Source organism: Homo sapiens, chromosome 5 (genome assembly GCF_000001405.40).
Source record: "Homo sapiens chromosome 5, GRCh38.p14 Primary Assembly".
NCBI lineage: Eukaryota > Metazoa > Chordata > Mammalia > Primates > Hominidae > Homo > Homo sapiens.
Window position 1 is genome coordinate 167,899,425 of NC_000005.10, and position 23,644 is coordinate 167,923,068.

General features: G+C 41.4%; 1 protein-coding gene across 30 annotated transcripts in view, besides 1 other annotated feature; it reads left to right on the top strand.

Moving 5' to 3' along the window:
• The window catches only part of TENM2 (teneurin transmembrane protein 2), a 1,285,129-nt gene that overhangs the window by 920,396 nt on the left and 341,089 nt on the right, over positions 1 to 23,644 (top strand). The window lies entirely within an intron of this gene.
• Positions 16,536 to 17,735: an enhancer, noted in NCBI's record as "CDK7 strongly-dependent group 2 enhancer chr5:167342965-167344164 (GRCh37/hg19 assembly coordinates)". NCBI's record gives its function as "activates an origin of replication core promoter dependent on BRD2, BRD4, P300/CBP, MED14 and CDK7 cofactors, with strong dependence on CDK7, by STARR-seq in HCT116 cells {active_cell/tissue: HCT116}" and the evidence as "EXISTENCE:reporter gene assay evidence [ECO:0000049][PMID:35650434]".

The following is a 23,644-nucleotide window of genomic DNA, read 5'->3' on the forward strand; positions in this document are numbered from 1 at the left end:
TAATAATAATAATTGGTGTTCACAATGGATTTATCGTGTGCCACGCTCCTGGCCAAGTGCCTTGCGTTAATTCAACAACAACTCTCCAAGTATTAGGTATCCCCATTTTGCAGATGAGGTAACAGAGATTTTAGGTACCCTGCACAAGGTTACACAGATAAAACGTGGTGGAGTGAATTCAGGAAGTCCAGCTCCCGAGAGACACCTGACCTCTCTGTGGAAACCAGAGTGACTCATTTAGAGGGCAACACTCAGTGTGGGTGGGAAAACCAGTAGGTGCCGGAAATCTCTGTCCATGTGGATGAAAACATCTCCCTGGTTGTTCCAGACAGAGTTCTATTGCACAGGAAGCAGATTCCCTTTCTGGAGTGAATGTTGCTGGGCACATGACCAAGTGCCCATTAGGATGGAGCGAAAGAACGGCATCCGACTCTTACAAAAAGTTGACATCTGAACAAAGAGAAATAAAAGCAAGTATGTTAAATTAATTTGAAAGGTCTTGTTTAAATCCACTCACGCAAAGACGTTCTCAATTTAAGGCTTTTATTCTACCCTAACCTCAGTTAGTTAGTGTGGCAGCTCAGAGCACATTCTGGATGATGCCAGGAAAAATTCATTTCACACCTGAAATGCTTAGATCTCATGCCGTTTCTTACAGTATCTTTCTGTCTGTGCCCTCAACCCACTAAAAAAAAAAAAAAAAAAAAAAGGGGGGGGGGGTTTTGGAAAGGAAAGGAATGATATCTTTCTCCGGAAACATTGCACTGAGGCAAACGTTTTCCCTTTGGTGCATTAGGAAGCCCTTAGATGAGAGAAGCTGGTGAGCTATGAAACAGCATTGGGACTTCTCTTGCAATTAAAAAAAAAATTATCAAAGCACTTTCCATACATGAAACCACCGTCAGTTATGTGGGGGAGGAATTATTATCTGTGTATCATGAAGGTGGAAATTACGGTACTGAGAGGTTAAATGATATTCCCAGCAGGCAAGAGAAGAAACTTTTCCAGGCTTGGCATGAGGACCTCTCTGTTTGTATATGTGTTCCCATTAGGGCTGCTCTGATGATCCAAATAAAAGTTGGGAGTGGGGGTAATGATTTATAAGCCCAAGGTTTTTAAAACATCATTTCTCATGTTTGGAAGTGAAAGTTGGCTGTGAGAATTCATCGAAAATGAGCCTGGATAGATGAGGCTGATGCAGATTAGTTTTTGAAGTGGAAGGACTGGAGGATTGGCCTTGTTTTCAAACGGCTAATTTTCTTGTTAATCACTGCGTTGGTTAATAACCACCTAGTTATGACCGTGGCAGAGAAAGACTGTCTGAAATAGGTCAAGCCTTCAGTCAGCCTGGCGTGTCCTGTCTTGATTGAAGGCTCAGGAAGCAGGAAGACTGGAGTGATTGGGGTGGGGGGGTGAGGTGGGATTGAGGCCTTGAGAGGAGACAGCAGTGACCACCTGGGGGACTTTTCTGTGGGAGATTGACAGGACTGGATGTACTCCTGAGGAGTCCTGCGGGGTGGGGGACAGGAATGTAAAAAAGGCCTGAGATGTCTTTTTTGGAATATGTGTGCCTTTTAATTCCTTGAATTTTTTTTCATTAATAACATGAATTAGATATGTTTTTTCCTACATTCTAAGAACACGACAGAATAATTGGAATATGCATGTGCAATTTAAGAAGACAATGAAAACCACCCAAAATTGAACACCCAGAGATGATCACTGTTACCCTTTTGATATATAACTTCCTTTTCTCTTTCTCTTTCTTTCTCTTTCTCACACGCTTTTTCAGTTTATCTTAATAGGTCCTGACTGAATTGTTAGCACCTACCACGGTTCCTAGCACATGGTAGATACTCAATAAATGTTGATGTAAGGATGAAAAAAATCATATTTATGATTTGTGGTATAGAATTATATAATAGGTATTACCTAATTCTAGATCATTACATATTTTTACAGTTTTCAAATACCAGGCTGAGCTATTACCTAAGGACACTTCTATCATATGGAAACATACAGCACCATGAACCAGCACGCAGTGACACTGTGGTCTAGAGTTTGGGTTCTGAAGTCAGTCTGCCTGGATTGGAAACCAGACTCCAACACTTAACTAGCAGTTCTTAATCTGTCAAGTAGGAGCAATACTCATAACATCTCATAACATTATTGTGAGAAGGAATAAATTAGTGCATTGAATGGGCCTAGCACCACACCTGGTACAGTCATAATTGCTTGGTAAATAATAGTTATTGATATTATAGTATGTTTTTAAATATTATGCTAGAGCACCGTATTAATGTTCTTCCATCATGCTGGCACATCGCAATTTTTAAAAATCTACCCCCTTTTGACAGGCATTTTTGTTGCTTCAATTTTTTGTTATGTAAAATACTAAATAGATCCTCTTTATATAAGAATTTATTTGCATATCTATACTTATTTCCTTATAATAAAATTGTAGAGGTAGAAATATAAGATCGCAGGCAATTAATCTTTTTATAACTTTATATGTTGCCAACAAAATGTGATATTAGCATAGAAAGCAACGGTGTATGAGCGAGTCTGTTTTCCCATATCCTAAGTAATCGTCCTATCCTTTGCACATTTTATGCAGGCTCATTTTGAGGAGCAAATCCCCTTCCATTTCTTGAGGCCATCTTGGGTTAGGCTAAGTGGAATTCTGCCAACATGCAACAGATTTTTAGGAGCAGGTTCTGGGTGTTTGTGCATGAGAGTGGAGTGGGGAGTGGGGTGGGGTGCATGGGCATGTACCCTCTGTCCCAAGAAGCTGCAGTGAGTATGAAAGATACCAGACTTTCACCCTCAGTAAATCTAAACACTCAAAGCAAAGTGTAAAAAGTGCTCGACAACTGTTATAAAGGATTTGGAAACTGTCTTCTCAAGGTGTGGACTGGGGTTGGAATCTGGAAGGCTGGCTGGAGAAAAGAACTCTGCTTCTGTCATTGGTGCAGTTGGTTGCCTTGTCGTTTTAATTACCTTACTCTTCTCAAGATCAGATTCAAGGCCAATCCAGCCTCCTCGGCCCCTAGCTTCTGCCTCCGCGACACAGATAACATAACTCACTTCCTAACTCACTTCCTGGGGCTGCCCCAGCCTAAGAGGATTAATCCGTCCTATGGAGTTACCTCCTCAGGAGGAAAACTGATAAGACGGTTGTAAAACTCCTGGGAGAAATGGAATGAGTTGTATAAATAAAGTGTTATGGCAGCCGACTCATCGAGAATGAGACCCGATGTCACTTAAATGTTTTGTCACTCTCTGTATCTTATGAAGGGGAACCTGTTTTCATATTGCAATACTTCAGCTCTGCCTGGAAAGTGATCGTGTGTGACAGTTTGCTTTTGTACTCCCCCACTTTATATAAAAGGAGCAGGACATTTAGGTTGGCTGTATTTGTTCTGAACAGGAAAACAAATCTGGCATTTTTACATATTATTCTGTACTCCTGGGAAAAACAGCTTTGACAGCCTAAGGAAAAGGCAGTTCAAATGGTAGTGATTCCCATGAACGTTTTGTTGCACTTTAAGTAAATCTACCATAAATGATAAGTATTTGAGATGATGGATACATTAATTAGCTTGACTCAATCATTTCATATTGTATACATATATCATAGCATCACTTTGTACCCCATGAATATGTACAATTATAATTTGTCAATATTCAATAACATTTCAAAAACAACTAGAAAACATATATATAAAAGATGCCTTCATGCAAGAAAAGAGTAAATCTTATATTTGGCTGGATGGTGCATCCATTCAGCTAATAATAATTGTACACCTACCCCAAGCCAGCACTGTTATAAGCATTGTGAGCTCAAGAGTACCCAAGAAAGATGTGGCCTCTAAGCTCACGAAGCTTCTCTTCTAAAGTGAAATTTAAGATTTTGGAGTAATAAAAATATAATGATTACCAATGTGAGAGCGATGCCAGAAAGAGACAGGGTGCTGAGCTAGACAATCACATGAAGCCGCCTACTCAGGTAGAATGGAGGAAAAAAAGGCTTTTGAGGTGACTTCTTAGCTGAAACTGAAAAGTGAAATTTCGGTCACCCATGTGACAAGGTTTGGGTGGCTGGGGTGGGGGTGGAGGGTGGAAGGGCTATTTTCAGGTCAAGGAAACAGCAGGGAAAAGGATCTAAGACAAGAAGCAGGAAAGTTCTTGGTTGTGTTGAGGAACTAGGAGAAAATGTGTGCAGCTCCAGTGTAACCAGGCAGATGAGAGGAGTTTGAAAGGAGACAGAATAGTAGGTGGATGTCACACCAGCAGCATCAGCAGCATCTGGGAGTTTCTCAGAAATGGAGAATCCCAACCTTAGACCTTCTGAATTTTGATTATCAAGTGGTTCCTGGGAAAGCACATCAATGTTGGCTAAGTGCTGATGCAAGCCATGGCAAGAGGCTTGGGTTTGGGATTTCACTGCAGTGGAAGTTATTGGTGGATTTAAAATGGGATGTGGTGTGCTCAAACACGTATTTAAATATCACTCTGGCTGAATAGAGGATTGCAGAGTGGCAAGAATTGAAATGGGGGACTAGTTAGGAGGCTGTTATAGTAATTCATCTGAGCGGTCAATTTAATCTAGACCAGATGACAGAGAATTTCCAAGCATTGCTATGTGCCTGGGAAGGTTGTCTGCTGTCTCATGGTTATTGGCAAGCAGAAAAATATATGCCTATTTATGCCCCCCAGGCAGGAAAATAGAAAATTGTTTCCCCTAAATTAGATACTTTGTCTTAGAACTCTTGGAGAGTCAATACCATCAAGGGGCTGGATTAGCTGAAGTACACTGTGTGGTTAGGAGCATGGGTTAGAGGATCATCAGAGCTGCATCCCCACCTGCCACCCCACATCCTACCTGGACAATGGTGAGCAATCACCTAGACTCTATGTCTTGGTTTCTTCATTGGTAAAGAAGGGATAAAGATAGTACAACACTGCTTTCCTTAGTACATTGATGTGTGTGTTAATTAAGAAAATGCACTTAACTAGCAAAGTAATTTAATAAGGCCTCTATAAATGAAGCTATTAATATTAGTAATATTATTTCACAATAACAATAAGTACAGAGTCCCTACCACACGCTGGATACTGATCGAGCTTGCATGCTTGTATGAGTTACAATGCCCAGCCCCGCCCCACACAGAGATTACGTGCTAATCAGAAAACAGCATCAGAAAGTGATTAAATCCACCTTTTTATTTATTTTTTCTCATTTCCCCCTGTGTCTGTCTTGTATTCAGAAAACTCAGAACTTAAAGAAAGCCCAATGTATAAAACATTTTTTAACTCCCAATTCATAGACAAGTTAACTTAACCCATAAGGAGGGTGACCAACGCTGCCAGTTCTCTGAGGACTGTCTTGGTGCTGACACTGAAAATGCCTCATCTCAGAAACCCTTCAGTCTTGGGCAAAAGGGACAGTTGGTCACTTTGACTTTAGGGTCTGTGGTTGAGTCAAAAGAGCTTCTTTCTCTCAGTTTAATAGCCACAGAGTACGTATGAAATCTTGGACAACTCTTTAAGCTTCAGGTTCTTTATCTGTAAAACTGACATATATATTTCAGGATATGGTTATAGGATAGTCAGACAGCATTTCATAAAACACATGATCAGAAATGTTGAGTCCAAAAATGATCTCACGGTTGCAACTATTATTACTAGGGCGGTTGTATGTGGAAAAATCAGAGGTAAAAAGAAAGAAACCCCCAAATGCGAACATAACTGTTTCCTAGAAACCCTCTGTCGATGTCTATTCCATTTCCCGACAGTTCGGAATACACAGGTAGTCTAAAAAAATCAACTTTCAACCTCATCGTTTTGTGGCTGGGAAAAGGGGGAAATAGGCACTATTTAGAAGGTATTTGGGATAGATGGAGTTACCACGAATGAATCTTCATTGGGATGGGAGTTTAGACCTGTTGAATGAATAAAAATGAGCCATCCTTGAAGATGATTATGAGAAGCTAAGTTCATACCAGCTCGTAACAGTGGCACGCTGTCAGTAGCTGGGCTAAGGCTGAGATTTTTCAATGAGAGCATCTGGCTTAAAAACTCCACAGGAGGGGGCTAGGGGTAGAGGAAGAAAATCCAAGAAATCCCTATGAGACCTTTTTAAATTTAGCACTCAAGGCACTAATATAAGAATATACCAGTGTGTGGATGAGAAAACGAGGGAGTCTTTACAAATAGGAGAATTTGGGATATCTGTGTTTGAGAAATTCTTTTGGACAAAAGTGGAGAAAATGACATTATCTGTAATTAGAAATAATAATGTGTAATTGGTTCATTTGCCATATTTCTACAGTTCTGATTTAGTTGAACAATGTGATCATTATGCCACCAGCTTTCAATAGAGGTGTCACAATGAAAAATAATTGCAATATTCCACAATATTAACTGCACCCTAATTGCAAAAGTTTTGAAATATAATTACCATGAAAGCTAATGCGACAGGGAACATTAAGCATAATTAGTGTTTTTTAAAAAAAGGAAAAACTGTTAGGAGCTTGTTATTGTCTAGTAAGGTAGCTTCAAATTAGCTGGCTGTAGAGCACTTTCATCTAGCTTTTCTATAATTTTCATTATTAGCACAGACTGTAATAAATTTATTTGACATAGCTCACACCTGCCAACCCTGCAGGAGATAACTTATAATGTGCGCCAGCCCCAAGATTTCCCACTGAACCTGTCAGAGCTTCCTACAAGGAGGCAGCCAGGAGTGAGGTTATTTTAAAAAAAATAAAATAAAATAAAAACCCTCAATTGCACATTACACAGTTCAGATTTAACACTTAAGCTGTGTTTTAAGTAATTTTCATAGAAAGCCAATGCTCTAGGAATGCAATTAAGAACCTCTTGTGGGTGGTGCTAAACAATCAAATCAGTGAACATTTCAAAGAACTCCTAAGGTGCAAGCCTGCTCTCCAGTGACTAGCAAGCCGCACCAGGGAGCTGACAATTAGCCCGTGCACCTGTTTGCCCAAGTGCAGCCCCTGATTTTCTGAGAAAGGCACCAACCCTGAACTCAGTGGCCACCATCAAACCCCTCAATTTCTTCTTTGACAAAACTACTCAAGGTCAGCATTTTGAAGCAATCACCTGCACCTCCTACCCACTCTGGCCTCAGCCTGTCCATAATGAGGCTTAAGAGTCAGGATCTTGACTCCACATAGACCATCTGATGAAGGCAAGGAGTGTACTCTGGGTGGGTACACAACTCCAGGGAGCGCCATTCACGTTGTTTTTTATGTAAAGTTGTGCATTGGGGGGTGTTCAATGTGAATGGTGCCCCCTGTTGTTTCTTACTTCTCTTTTTTTAGGCTCTCTGCTAATTGGCTACGTTACATCCCTTTGATTAAAAAAGAGAGTCAGGAAAGCTAAAAAAAGAGGAGGGAGTGGGGAGGAGCAGATATTTTTGAGACCTGACATAGAATCTAATTAAAAGAGACCCTCCATCCTGGATGATGCAGCAGACGACATCTAAAATAAAGGACGCAGGCCGGGCGCAGTGGCTCACGCCTGTAATCTCCGCACTTTGGGAGGCTGAGGCAGGCGGATCACCTGAGGTAGGGAGTTCGAGACCAGCCTGACCAACATGAAGAAACCCCATCTCTACTAAAAATACAAAATTAGCCGGGTGTGGTGGCGCATGCCTGTAATCCCAGCTACTCGGGAGGCTGAGGCAGGAGAATCACTTGAACTCAGGAGGCGGAGGTTGCAATGAGCCAAGATCGCACCGTTGCACTCCAGCCTGTGCAAAAAGAGTGAAACTCCGTCTCAAATAAATAAATAAATAAATAAATAAATAACATAAAAATAAAAGAAGCATAGCAACTTAAAAGAGTACAAGTTTGAAATACTATATTCCATACATTTACATGTCAACTTTAAAAACTCACAGACCCTTGTTTACAAAGCATTGTATCGAAAGGTGAACATTGTCATTTTAAATGTGGTCACTAATAACACTAACTGATTAAAAGGTCCAAATAATAGTAGCCAGGAAAAATTAATAACTTTCTTGATCAAGATGGCCTTTCTGCCTTAGTAATTTTGTTTAGATCACCCTAAATATATATATATATATATATATATATATATATATATATATATATATATGTATGTATTATCATAAATTCTTAAAGCATATTTATAGAGCTAAGAATTTATGGCTGGGTGTATCTCATGCCTATAGTCCCAACACTTTGGGAACCTGGGGCAGGAGGATTGCTTGAGGCCAGGAGTTCAAGAACTGCCTGGGAAACATAGTGAGACTCCATTTCTACAATAAATAAATTATAAAATATATTTAAAAAAATTTAGGAAGTTATGTATTCCATCTTGTCTCTGGCAGCCCCACCACAGAGATAAAAGTTCCACGAACCTTGCATTAATAACCATGCAGCCAATTTGTTAAAATGATGATGCCCTAACTTAATTAAATCTGATAGAGCTGATGACATTGAACCTCTTAGGGGAGATAAAGTTCTCCGGTTAATAAAGACACCATGTTTATAGATAGATAACCATAAGAGAGCCAGTCACGTGCCCATATGCCTCAGTTTCCTCATTTGTAAAATGAGGACATTCAATTTGATTATCTCTGTCTGTCTGTAAAATCAAAGTGAGTTTTTGACTAGAGCATTCCTTCTGATTGCAGATTTAATACTTCTGGCCAATTATTGGTTCTCGGAATCACTCTGTCCTAGACTTTCTCTTGTTAGAACCACACATTCTGTTAGTAACAGATGAGCCTAAAAATGTTGTCTGGAGACAATTGGCAGGACCTCAGCAGGCTGTAAATCCTTTCAGGAAAAAGGATCCGATCCTCCCTTTCCCCTACCCTCCCTTCCCCTCGCTTCTCCTCTCCCCTCCTCTCCTCTCCTCTCCCCTCTCCTCCCCTCCCCCCTCTTCTCCTCTCCCCTCCCTTCCCCTCTCTTCTCCTCTCCCCTCCCCTACCCTCTCTTCTCCTCTCTCCTCCTCTCCCCTTCCCTCCCCTCCCTTCTCTTTCCTTCCCCTCCCCTCTCTTCTCCTCTCTCCTCCCCTCCCCTCTCCTCCCTTCCCCTCCCCTCTCTTCTCCTCTCTCCTCCCCTGCCCTCTCTTCTCCTCTCTCCTCCCCTCCCCTCTCCTCCCTTCCCCTCCCCTCTCTTTTCCTCTCTCCTCCTCTCCCCTCCCCTCCCCTTCCCTCCTCTCTTCCCCTCTTTGCTTTTCTTCTATTTCTTTTTCTCTCTCCCTCTCTGTTTCCCTCTCTCTCTCCTTCTCTCTTTTCCCAACACAGTCCTCAGCATATAGGTTCTCAACAAATATGCCCTGAGGAAAGAGAAAAGAAAGTCCAAGCTTGGCAGTTCTCCAGCCAGAGTGTATTGCTTGTGTAAAGAGGAAGCTACCACAGATCAGAGTTAATCTTTAGGTCTGCACACCATGGGCATCATAGAAGCTTTCCTTAGTTCAGCATTTGAGGCCCATAATCTGCTGAATAGAGTGCCTTTCAATTTATGGAAAGGGGTCATATATTTTAGTGGTTATGCATGACTTAAATAATATTTAATTCTTATTATGATTCCTCAGTGTGACATTTCTGCTGAATTTTATATTTTCGTTTTCTTTTCTCTCTCTTTTTTTTTTTTTTTTAGTAAAAATTGAACCAGTTTTATTCTTTTTCAAGGAAGAGAATTCACTTTTCTAAAGGAAGAAGAGGAAACAAACTAGAAACTTACAGCATATATTTTTTATCTTTGGTGACACACAGAAGTTTGCTTTGTTTTTTACTTTCTCCTGTGTCCGAGTTTACAGTTGGACTTTTGTAAGGGAAGTGGACCAAATGTGTGGTCCTTGACTTACTTTCACGGTATTAACTACATTTCCTTTGTTCTGTTGCATAATGTAATCACTTGTGTTTAATCTCCCTTCTATAGGGAATGATGGATTATTAAAAGTATTGCTGCAACCTGTGCATGTACCCCCTAAATCTAAAATAATAATAATTTTATTGAAAGTATTGTTGCACTGCCACTGTAAAATTACTCAATGAAATCTACATTGTCACTACTCAGATATTGCCCTTCATTTATAATTGTGTGGTCATTAATTCTTATTTGTCAGTACATTTTAGGTTAAGAGGTTTTTTACAGCCTTAAGATCTAATCTTTATTTAACAATCAATCATCAAATCTGCATTTGCAAAGATTAGAAATCTCATTTTTAAGTAAAAACAGACAAAGAGTTAGGATTTGAACCCAAAGTTTAGAGGACTGTATTATCACCCAAATGCCTAGATGTTACCATGCAAATCAAAAATAAAATTTTGAACAAGTAGTTTTATTTTGAAGAGAGAAACATAAATATAGAACAGACTTATCTCATGGATAAAACAGAGGATAGACTATTAAAGTCATGTGTTTAGGGAGAAATTATGCCTTCCAAAGTTAATGCCTGGCTTTGAAATTGTGAGTAAGGCTTTTTTTTTTTTTTTTCCAGCATAAACACATCTAGACAAAATGTAAGACTCTGTGTCAATATTTTTTTTGAAGGGCAGATTGGGCTTATAATTATATAATACTGACCTATGACTTGTCTCTTAGGACTTCCACAAAATGAGATTTTGATCTGGTACTTTTGGATGTGTAATTTATCTATCTACAATGCAACACAATGAAAATGTTCTCTCATGGTTTTGGAATTATCTTCATTTTGGCAGATACAGGCACATGTGCTACACACTTCTCATTCTTGCACCCAGGGCAGACATCACTAATCGATCACAGCCCTCTTTCCCACTGGGAACAGATGGAGCCTGTCAATATTTCTCAGCGGTCCTCCAGGCAGCTACTACTAATCAATCAGAATTGGCATGCAAGATTAAATGCCCTTGCCATTCAGGGCAATAATCACAGAAAATGACAATCACACAGATGTGAGTCCCTGGGGTAGCCAAAATTCCAAAACCTAGTATAATTGCCTCTTCAAAATGTGATTAAATATCCTCTTTCCCTCCATCACAAGCAAAAAGAATAAAGTCATGCAAAGTAGGTTTGGTTTGGGAGGAAAAAAGAAAACAAAAAAACAAACAAAAAGAAACCTTCTAGCATCTGCATTTCTTTGTGGCTCCAAGATCCGAACTGTTCTTACACAAAAAAGACCCATCATTGAACTCCACTAACTTATACCTCAGTTCTTATTTATTTCCTCCAAAAAACTAACCTTTATACTACAGTTTTACTATTATTAAATCACTCTTCCATGGAGCAGATGTTTCTGAACGCTTTTTTGCGTTCTTTGTCTTGAATACTCTTACTAAATAGTGTCCTTCCACAGAATAAAAAAATTCCTAATCTTGAAGGAGTTATATTTATAGAGGAATAATTTATCCTAAGTTACATTAAAATAAGTAAATCCATGGCAGCACAGTTAAATTCATAAGAGCAAGAACCTATCATTACTCTCAGATTCTCTTTGGATCTCTGCTAAATTGAGGACTATACAATTTATGAATACATATTTTTTGGTTAAACAAACCCTAGGAAAAAAGCGTATTTATGCATCAAAAACCTGTTATTAAGAGCTCAAAAAACGTAAACTTCTTATTAGAAGATTTGATGTTTTTTTCAACTACAACAATCTCAAGAATTAAGAGTAATTTTATATTTCCTTTTGTAGTAAGGTACAATCATATCATGTTTTACTTGGGATGAATGTAACTATCTATGGTTTTAATTGTTACTGTAGAATGGAGTTGTTTCACAAAAATGATAATCCATGTTGTAGAGTGGTTAGTGAGGTGAGAAACTCAAGGGCCGGGCACGGTGGCTCACGCCTGTACTCCCAGCACTTTGGGAGGCCGAGACGGACGGATCATGAGGTCAGGAGATCGAGACCAACCTGGCTAACACGGTGAAACCCCGTCTCTACTAAAAATACAAAAAAAATAGCTGGGCGTGGTGGCGGGCGCCTGTAGTCCCAGCTACTCGGGAGGCTGAGGCAGGAGAATGGCGTGAACCTGGGAGGCGGAGCTTGCCGTGAGCCGAGATCGCGCCACTGCACTCCAGCCTGGGCGACAGAGCGAGACTCCGTCTCAAAAAACAAAACAAAACAAAACAAAAACAAAAGAAACTCAGATGACATCAGCAAATATCTCTTGGGCACCTACCCTAGGTTACACATTGGAACTACAACTGGAGTGCTTTGGGTTAGTTCCAGGAGCACTGGGGCAGGAGTACTCACCATGGCGTGTAGAAATAAGTAAATTCCAACAGTCATTCACGCAGCGAATATTTATTGGTGTTAGCTGTGTGCCAGGCAGTGTCCTTGTCCTCCAAGGGCACTACCAGACTACAGAAATACGTACAACTGGGGATGGTGGCTTACTACCATGAATAATTGATTTTAAGTTTCTCTTTTACAATAAGCTTCCTTTTTTAATTAACAAATATATATATATTTATGATATACAGCATGATATTCTGTTATATGTATGTAATGGATATGTCCATAATGTTATGGAATAGCTAAATCAAATCAATTAACATATCTCTTACCTTGCACACTTTTTTTGTAGTCAGAACACTTAAAATCTACTCATAGCAATTTTCAAGTATATAATACTTTGTTATTAACTATAATCACCATGTTGTACAATAGATATCTTGAACTTATTCCTCATTCCAATTGAAATTTTGTATCTTTTGACCAACATCTACCCAATCTCCACCTTCCAGCCCCTAGTAACCACCACCCTACTCTCTGCTTCTGTGAGGTCAACCTTTTCAGATACCACGTGTAATTGAGAGGGGTGGTATTCGTCTTTCTGTGCCTGTCTTATTTCACTTATCATAATGTCCTCCAGGTTCAGGCTTACTGTCACTATGACAGGATTTTTTCTTTTAAGGATAAATAGTATTCTGTTGTGTATATATGCCACATTTTCTTTACCCATTCATCTATTGATGCAGACTTAGCTTTCTCTTGAATAGAGTTCTTTGGGAGCAGAGGCCAGGCTTTCCCAGTTCATTGTTGTTCTCCAGCAGGTAGTACAGTGGTAGCACATAGTAGTCACTCAGTCGACACATGTTAACTGAATCAATTATACAACGGGAGTGGGAGGAAGGAGTGGGTGAGTGGAAAGTCCTTTTGCACGTTGCTTTTGCAGACAATGAGCTCCTGAAGGGAAGGGCACAAGTCTGTTATTCCTGTGCCCTGAGATCCTGGCATCTCATGGGCATGCCAAAAATGTCTGTGGAATGACTTTGGAGGTAACCAAGGAACAGTTAGAGGTCAGTTACGTGTTAGGATGTGAAGCAAAGGGAATGGTCAAAGCATAAGAAACTTTTAGAACACTGATTTTGAATATAGAAATTCAAAATACCTTTCCTTCTCCCAAGAGTAACTAGAGAGTGGGGGTAATTTACTTAATGTACACATTTTGTCCATCAATATTCCTTGTGCCAGCCACTGGTACACCCTGGGCAAAGGCAAGGAAAGGAGAAGGTATTCCCAGATGGAACAGGACCAGCCAAGCAGCAAGAAAGGTTCAGGCAGGCATGATGTGATGGATGACAGGGCTATCTCTTAAAAGGCCTGGGGGCATTCATTCCATAGCATCCCTGCATTCCAGAGAAAAAAAACTATGCAGCAACCTCAGCGAGATAGAGCAGCATTGCCATAATGTTGAGAACCATGGGGGCGCTCACCCAAGCTCCCTGGCCAGCTGGTTGGTGGACCATTTTAACTCTGCATCCACCTGCCTCTTCTCCTAGTACAACCTGGAGTTTCTGACTACATTCTAATGGGCTGACTTCATCCTCTTTGCATGGGATTTCAGTGTGTTGACTTTGTGCCAAAGATCAGTGGGTTTTATAAACTTTGATAAAGCGGTAAAGAAGCAAGTTTCACATACTGCCACCAATCATATTTTCATATTGGGCAAGAAGAATAAGTTTAAGTGGTGTTACAAAGCATATTTATTTATGCAGACGCTCTTTTTATCCTTTTCTCGACAGGATATTGGCACTACATTTGAAACAGGGAGAAAAAAAGCAACATGTTCCCATTTCTCAATCTCTTTACTGCCAATTTCTGAATTGAGACTAGCTTCAAGATTTTGAATATCTTCAGCATTGATCTACTGCTAGTTTCTGGTGGAGAAATTGAAACAATAGAAATCTGAAACCGAGATAGACAGCAACTTGCAGTGTACATTTCCTCTCCTGATGCTTTTATAGACAGAAAGGACAGAGGGGTTATATCTCGTTCTCCAGCTTGTCTGGCCATCCCATCCCCAGGAAGTCTATTTACTCCAGAAACTACTGTGATGCCCACCTAACTGCCATTTCTGTCGATTCCTGTCCAAGCTGCACAACTGACCAGCTTTGTAACTTAGGTGAAGTTATTTAATTTCTATTGCCTCTGTCTTCTTATCAGTAAAATGGACATATGCACAGAGTTTAGTACTTAAGGTTGTTGCGAGGATTAGAAGAGACCATGTATATTAAGTGCTGCTAAGAATGGTGCCTGCGTCTGGTGAGCAATCAATAAATGTTAGCAGCTGTTGTTATTATGACTACTCTTTTTATTGTATGTGTATAGAAGGGAAAATCACCTGTGTGCCTTAAATGGGAAGGGGAGGATAGTAGAGTCTTCCCCTGTCTTCCTATATTGACTGAGCCTGGGGGACCTCTACCTCTCTGAGTTGACTTGTACAAGTTCAGCATTACTTCCCTGCAATAGTTTTCTATGGCTGCTATGGCAAATTACCACAGTGATGTGGCTTTAAAAACACACATTTATTATCTGAGAGTTTTGGAAATGAGAAGTACAAAATGGTTTGATTTGTGCTAAAATCAAGGAGTCAGCAAGGCTGAATTTCCTTGCCTTTTTCAGCTTCCAAAGGACGCCTGCATTCCTTGGCTCATGTCCCCTCCTCTGTTTTCAAAGCCAACATCATTAGACTGAGTCTTTCTCATGCTCCTGTCTCTCTGGTTCTCTCTCTTCTGCATCCCTCTTTCCCTTATAAGAACGCTTATGATTACATTGGGTCCACCCAGATAATCTAGGATAATCTCTCCATCTCAACGTCAGCTGATTGGTCGACTTAACCTCATCTGCAACCTTCATTCCCCCTGGCCATCTCTATTCATTTCTCAGGTCTGCAATTGCAAATTACCACTGAATGGGTGGCTTCAAACAACAGACATTTGTTGTCTCACAGGTCTAGAGGCTAGAAGTCCAAAGTCAAGGTGTCAGCAGGGCCATGCTCCCTGAGCCTCTCAGGGAGGATCTTTCCTTGTCTCTCCCTAGCTTCTGGTGTTGCCAGAGATTTTTGGTGTTCCCTGGCCTACAGCTGCAACACCTCACTCTCTCTCTGCCTGTGTGGTCACACGGTGCTCTCCCTGTGTCTCTCTGCATCTTTACGTGGCTGTCTTCTCATAAGGACACCAGTCATTTTGGATTACGAGTCCACTTGCTCAGGTATGACTTTATCTTCACTAGTTACATCTGCAATAACCTTATTTCCAAAAAAGGTCACGTTGTGTGGTCCTAGGGGTTAGGACATCAACATATCTTTGTGGTGGGGAGACACAATTTAACTCATAATATCATGCGAGTTAACATATTCACAGGTTCTGGAGATGAGGTTGTGGACATCTTTAGGGGGCCATTATCCCACCTACCATACCTCCCTTCACTCCCGATTGGGATGAGAAGATGATAGTGTAGAGTGGATGGAGATAGTTTTTCCCCAACCTTGAGATGCTAACATCTCAATGTCCATTACTGCAAAAAAAGGTAGACCCCAAATGACACATGCAGCACAGCTAGACGTGGTATTGTCAGAAAGGGTTGTAGTCCACAGGAGTAGGGAAGGGAGATGGAAAGACAGGAAAACAGGAAGAAATTAAATCCCTACAACATATGGTCAAATCTCATCCCAACTGAGCTTTCATGTAAGGTGTCTGAATCCGTTCTTGGAAGTGTCTTTTCCCCTCCTGTTCGCTAAAATTTGCTCCATATTGAATTGCTTTTCTCCCCTACACCCCCACCAACCACCAGCTCCCTTCAGCTGGCATTGGCCTCTGTTCCTCTGCTGATATTTGAAGCATGTGGGTGGGTCTCACTTTCCCAGCAAAATCTTTTGTTCCCCTGTATCGATTCACCAATTATCACCTCATCCCCATTCTCCAATCCCTCCCCTTACAACAAAAACAACAACAAAAATTAAAGGCATAAACCAAAAGAACAGAACACCTTCAGCCTTCATAGCATCCCTGAGAGAGAAAACCTATGTATTAACAAGAAAGATGATCTGTATTTCTTTTTCCCTAGGAAAACATACTCAGCATTTTATTTCATGAAAAGATTGTATTTCCTTGATTGGGAGGGTAATTACTCTTCCAAAATAGACTTGCTGTTAAGTAATCTTGTCCATGCAAGTGACATGGTATATGAGTGAGAAATGTGGGCAATAGGTATATTTGATTATCCACACTGCTATCTTATCTGACTGACCTTAGAGAAGTTATTTGGTCTCCTTGGGCCTCAGTTTCCTTATCTGTAAAATGAGGATTTTAAAAAGGGCCTAATTTATAGGTTTGTGATGAGGATTAAAGAAGCTAATAACAGATATCGTGCACGTGCCAGGTGCCGGGTACTGTGCTCAACACTTTTCATGGATTATCGCATGAGTTTGTGTTATGTCCATTAGCGCAGGGTCTGAGGCTTCGCCAGCAGTCAAAGAACCGTCACTATTTTTGTGAGTACGTGGCTTGCTTTATCCAGTCTGCCGCTGGAAGCAAAATATTCTTTCTATCCTGGATGTCCAGTCTTGGAACCAGCTCCGAATCCATTGAAAGGCCCCTGGTGTCTCTGGGGGGTTGGTACCTTCAGACGTTATTGTACTACATTTTTGTTCAATGAGTCAGAGCCAAAGGACTTGGTTGGTGAAAAATTTAAATCAGATCGGTGAGAAGCAGCAATCTTCATCTCCCCCACTGCTCGGTGGTGCACCTTTGCCACCAGGTCAGGGAAATCATCAATCCCGGGGAGCAACTACAAAGCTGTTTCCAGAGCCAATTTCCTGCTGAACTGTGTGTTATACTCTTAGCAACATTCCAAAAATTATACTCACTTCAAAGCCAGCTTTGATCTGGCCCCCCTCCCTCCCTTCTCCCCCAGCCTTTGCCGAGAAGCGCATCTCCAGGAGTAGAGTTCACCTTGAAAGGCTGAGACGCCTGTGAGCAGAGCTCGGATCTTCCTGAGAGGAAGGGAGGGAGGCCCCAGAACCAAAAAAAATAAAAAATAAAGAAAAGAAAATCCGTGGGAGGCCTCACTTATTCTCTGTGGCCCACTGCCCTTGCCTTGGCAGCTCAGTTCCTTCTTGGGGTAAGCAAAACCATCAGCCCAGGCTCTGCCCTCCACAGAACAGCAGCAGCCGCAGCTGATCTCAGCATTGTTGCCCTCACGTGGTTTTGGTGTTGTTGCTTAAGCAGGGAGCTGCTTTGGGTTTCTCACTCAGAGCTGCAATGGGAGGTATGTAACCATCACCCAGGGCTAGGGCAGGAAGGAAAAGCTTGCCCTGAAGGGGAGGTACTGTACCGGTGCCTTTCAGGGAAAGGCCTTTGTTTGATACTGTCAGGCATCAGATGCACCTGATAATTTTTTGGAAGGAGGAATTCTTGCAGCAGCTCATCTTTCCTTCATTTTACCCACTCCCTTTCCCTCACTCCTAGATTACAATGTGGAAACTGAGGTACACTAAGAGACTTGCTCACCAAACAAGATGCCTGTGGATTCCAGAGTGATTCGCAAATCCCAGTTCTAGCCCAAGAGAAAATTCCCTCAGAAGCCGAGCAAAAAGAAAGGGGCAATTAGCTGCAAATGCCTCATGCATGGATGTGGTGCTGGAGTCTCGGGGGGTTGTAGGGATTGGGCGCTCTAAACCCAGTAGATGTGCCGCACTGGCTTCATTTGTGAGTTGGGAATCCTGGGGCTTCCCTAGGCAGGGAGTTTTTAAAATAATAGTTACCAAGTTTAAGGAATTTATTTCCACCTATTTGGGAGTAGGAGCAAGGGTACGTAATGACAGCCTGGAGGAGGAGCAAAGCACTGCCACCTGCTTGCTTGTGACCTTGAAAACCCCACCTCACCTGTCTAAGTCTTAGGGTCCTTGCCCAGGAAATGGGGATTTTGTGGTGAGGATGAGTGATAAAAATCCATGTAAAGCACTTCTCCCTGTAACTGACACAGTTCTTGCCCTACAAGTTCATAGTTGAGTTGGAGTGAATCAAGAAGCCTTCACTGAAAGGGGTCTCACACTTGTCTATCTCCCTAGTATGTTGCCTTGCATTTGATGGAGATTCAAAGTGCGTTGACTAGTTTGAGTGACCTTCAAGGTAATAGTTCAACATGTTGACAAAAGTCTCCATAAGGGAACCTTGTGACAAAGTATTGTGTAAAATAAAGAATCTGTGTAACCGCTCCAATATTATTCTATTATTATTATTATTGGTTAGTGTTATTATTATAGGTTATTATTATTACTATTTTTGGCTATAAAAGACAACAATAACAACAATCACTGCTTACTGACATATGACATTTAGTACAGTGCTTAGCACAAAGTTAGTGCTCCGTGAAGGTTAAACAACAGTGAGAAAAAAACACTGCCTGCTTTTCAAAACATTGATTTCTACATGCAGTTTTAGCCTTGCATCTGTGAGATCATGACGGGTTTATTTATATTTCTCTTTTTATGAAAGCTTAGCGGTTGTGTTGAGTGAATACAAACAGTTACCATAGGTCCTTAAAAAGGAGCTCTGAGATGTGTATTGAGCGAGCGCTGAACATTTTCAGGATGTGACTGGTTCCCTGGGGCCCACTGCATCAGGCTGACCATTCTGAGAATTAATAGCCACCCTGACACTTGAAGCCCATCAGGAATGAGATGCTTGCCTCGTCTGGGAGGACGGTGGGACACGTCACCACCTGCACGTCTCCCTATAAGCTCTTACCTGCCGAATTAGCAAGCTGCAGCTATTATGTTAGACAGAGCCACAGCTGAGCCCGCAGTTTGATTTTTGTCACCATAAAGGCAGGACTGGAATTGACACTGGAGTAATTAGGAATGAATTCTCAGATCTTGACTTATCAAGCACACTGCCAGGGAGGGAGACAGGAGCCGTGTGGCAGTGTTTTGGAAGCTGAGATGGTGACCTTGCAGGCTGACCTCACTCTTAATCTTTCTATTAGAGAGACCAGTAAGCATTTGGCCAGCACCTCCTGTTAGGCTGACAACCAGAGCAGTTCGTTTGGGATTGGATATTTTTCTCCTTTTTTTTTTTTTTTTGTAGCCTGTAGGCACTTAGAAGAAAAAGGAGCAGGAGAATGAAGCCAATATGGGAAGCAAAGTTACCACGGGGACAAAATGTTCTTCCGAGCAGCTTGAAATGAGCATAATTTTGGAGAATTTCTGCAATAGCGAGTTAATTCATAATTGGGTTTGCTGAGCAATCAACAATGTGTTGCTTGTATTTTCATATGCTGGGAGCATATGACTCCGTGTGTGCACTGTGTGTGTATTATAATGCTCCAGTACTTTGATGCTTCACTAATGTGCAATCTCTATTTCTTGCTTTTGTCTGGGGGCCTCTCATATTACGTTTAGATTGTATCCTTTATCATCCCAAATTGACATTTATGCTTTTACTTCTATTGTTTCCCTAGCTTCTCCCTGGTATGGATCAACAATTTGTTTTAATCTGTGTCACTTCTCTTATCTCCCTCGACACAGAGGAGCAGTCATTTTGCACCGCCATCCGCCTACAGAGGTTGTGCTGTCGAGAGTGTGGTGGGGTCCCTCACCCTCTCCCCACTGTCTAAAGTGCTGGCGAATGTTAATTGCTTTTCCAGTTAGTTTATAAGAATGCAGAAACCGCTGAATGCAGCTTGACTGGTTTTGATGAAAGTAATGGAATGCTAGTGCCTATGAATAAATAAATCTGATTTACATAGAGGACTATTGTGGTATTGGGTAGGAAGCCTCTGAATGCAAGCAAATTATAGTTTAAGGACACATTATTCCTTGGCTTTTATTCTAAGTAAAGGAGAAGAGCTCAGGTTTCCTTGGGTTCCCAGAACGGGAGGCGAAGAGGTAACCCCTTGACCTAAGAGGAAAAATGCTTTCTGAGAGCAGCGTTGATCTGAAACTTAAGGGGGATGCATTTTGTTTGGAGAGAAGCTGTAGATCTAGGTCTCACTTCCTGAAATCCCCTTACAGAAAGCATATAGAATAGCAAGTGGTGAAGAATTTATGAGAAGCAAACTGAAAATGTATGAGTGCCTATCAGAGTGCTTTGGTGAAATAACTGGAGAACACTCTTAGAGGAAGACGGGATCACAACTATTATGACTATCACGACATCCAGTTTTATTTGTGTTTCCTAAATTCCCACAAGAGTGTGTGGCCACTAGAAATGGAATAAATCAAGACATTCTTTTTTTTGGACGAGAAAAGGCAAGTGTGGTAGAAGTAAGAGGACTCACATCAGGGCATCTGCATTTCGGAGTGCCTGAGGATTGTTCTGGGATGAGTCCATCTGGCAGGAAAGGAGATGGGAATAGAGAGGCTATGGGAGGCACAATTCAAGTAGATGCTCAGACTAAAAATGCAAAACTGCTACGTTTCAGAAGTGACCCTATTGGTGGCTTCTGATAAATGAATGAGGATTAAACGCCAAAATTAAATCACTTAAAAAATATTTGTATGGGCCAGGCGCGGTGGCTCACACCTGTAATCCCAACACATTGGGAGGCCGAGGAGGGTGGATCATCTGAGGTCAGGAGTTCTCGACCAGCCTGGCCAACATGATGAAACCCTGTCTCTACTTAAAAAAAAAAGAAAAAAAAAGAAAAAAAAAATCAAAAGTTAGCTGGGCATAGTGGCGGGCACATGTAATCCCAGCTACTCAGGAGACTGAGGCAGGAGAATTGCTTGAACCCGGGAGGTGGAGGTTGCAGTGAGCCAAGCTCGTGCCACTGTACTGCAGCCTGGGCAACAAGAGCGAAACTCCATCACACACACACACACACACACACACACACACACACACACACAAATAGCATGGGCAAGGTACTATTGTAGATGCTGAGGGCACAGCAGCAAATAAAGCCAAGTCCCAGACTGTGTAGGACACTTACATTCTCACACCCAGCTCGCAGCAAATTATAAACTCTAAGGAGATAAATAATTGGGGGAGATCTTGAAACTTGACTACAGGCTTAACTGGGTAAGACTGCCAGAAAACAGGAACAGTTTTCTGTGTATTTAGTGCCATTCATAACATGACAGCATCCACAGTGACTAAGCAAACAGCCCAGAGGAGCAAGGGTGTGAGTTAGGAGTTGAGTAAGAATCAGCGACAATAAAAATGAACACCTGACATATTTTTCCCATTCTAGGGTCCTCTGTCTATAAATATGTTTGAAACTAGGTTATTATCCTCTCTCACCCATGCTTATCTCCCAAATTCTTCTTAATCATTTCTCGGGTCCTGATGATATATTGATAGGCTATGGATTAAATATGAAATTACTGCAAATCTCAAGCACCCAAAGATTTATGGACTGAGGCTTAGGCCTTATATCAAATCAACCATCTAAGAAAATATATGATTTCACCATAATATTAAAAATTACTGGCAGCGTCTTCATCTTATCCGATTGGTGTTGTCCTGATGATAAGCTCCAGTAAGCAGAGAGAGAAGTTGTGTGATAAATTATGGAACAGACATTGAAAAATATATTTATTACATTTGGATGTGCAAGGATTTCACTCGCTGTGTACAGAAAAAAAGAGAGTTTGTGTTGTAACGCCTACTTTGGTTCCAAATATTCTACAGTCTCTAAAGACTAGCTGATCTTCCGTTGGCCTCATTCGCAGGAGTTGAGTTCCTAGATGGGAAAACTGTGTAGTGATTACAAATGAAAGTATTTGTTCTAAAAGTAAGAGTTTCCTGGTCAATGTGAAGAATATCCACAGAGAGGAGAATCTAGGTCCATGTTTCTCAAAGTGTGGTCTATGGACCAGCACATTGTCAGTCCCCGCGAGCTTTTGAGAAATGTATACTCCCTGAATTAAAGTCAGCCTCTTAACAAGACCCCCAGGTGGTACATAACTGTTTGAGAAATGAGAAAAACAAACTATGATAGACGGGAAGCCAGACAGGAAGAGAGAAGTTCTTAATGTATCTCAGGGAGGGTGCTCGATGGGAGGCATGACAGAAATTATATTAATAATAAAAATAAAACAATGAAAATCATGGTTAATGTTTATTAAGCACTTATGAACAGACATTGTACAAAGATTACTTGACCTCATGAAATCTTCATGAAGACAGCCCTGTGGGAATACTAGTATTACCCCAACTTTACAAATACAAAGATGAAGGCTGAGAGGATTATAGAACTTTCTCTGGCTACCAAAGCTTGCAAGTAGCAGAGCCAGGATGCACAATCACACTTATCTGATTTCTTACACATTTCAGTGAAGTCTCATGAGTCAGAAACTCTAGTGGACAGGGCCAGCCATATTGGAGGGAAATGTTGAAATATCAAGAAAAAAGAGTCATGAAGTAGGAACTGTCTTTGTACATAAGGAGAAAAGGAAAACTGGCAAAATGGTCTTTTAGGTTCTACTAGCATATGCCTCCCTTTGAAATCCCCAGCTAGAAACCTGCAGTCATCCTTGGTTCTTCCTTTTCCTCATGACCCATATCCATGAGACTTCTGATTTCCATCATGTCCCCTCCTTAGTGTACACTGACTGTGTCCCTGGCTCTTGAAGTGCACCTGCTGTCGTAGTTCAGACTTCATCATCAGTAGCTGGGTCTTGAGCAACATCCTCCAAATTGGCCCCTGCAGCTCCATAGTCTCCCTTTTCCAGCCCCTCTATCATGAATCACCATATCTCCCTAGAACCCAATTCAACCATGTTCCTTTTCTTTCTGACTCTGTGCTAGATGCTGATAAAACACACATCCTGCCCTCAAGGAAGCAACAAGCCCAGGGAAAGTCCTCACACTCTGCCTTGTCTACCACTCCACTCCCATCTCACCTTCCTCTCTCTGTGCTTGCACACATCACTCTTGTATTTGTCTTCATACATATCCCTTACAGGTGAGCAGAAATCAGGCGCAGTCCTTGGTTCTCAGCCACTTCCTGCTTCTCCTCAGTCACTCTCTTTCCACTGCCCAGGATGTTCCCTCCTCCTTAATTATCCTGTGAACACCAACCCATCCTTCAAGGGCCAGCTCAGCTGTGCCTGCCTCTTTGAAGCCTTGTCCTTAGCCTTACCTCGGTGTAAGCAGTCACTCCCTCCTCTTTCAGATCCATCAGCATTTGTCTTCCTTGTTTATTGCTCCTCCTAGACCAGGATGTAGATAGATTCCCATCATGTCCCTGGAACAAAGAAAGGGCAAGGAGACAGTAGAATGGCTTACAGGCCGAAAACCTGAACTTTCAAACCTGTTTTTGGGTTTAAGACAGTTTAGATGCTTCCCCCCAGTGCCTCTGTCTCTTATACTCTAATCGAGGCCATGAGGGCCAGGTGCAGTGGCTCATGTCTGTA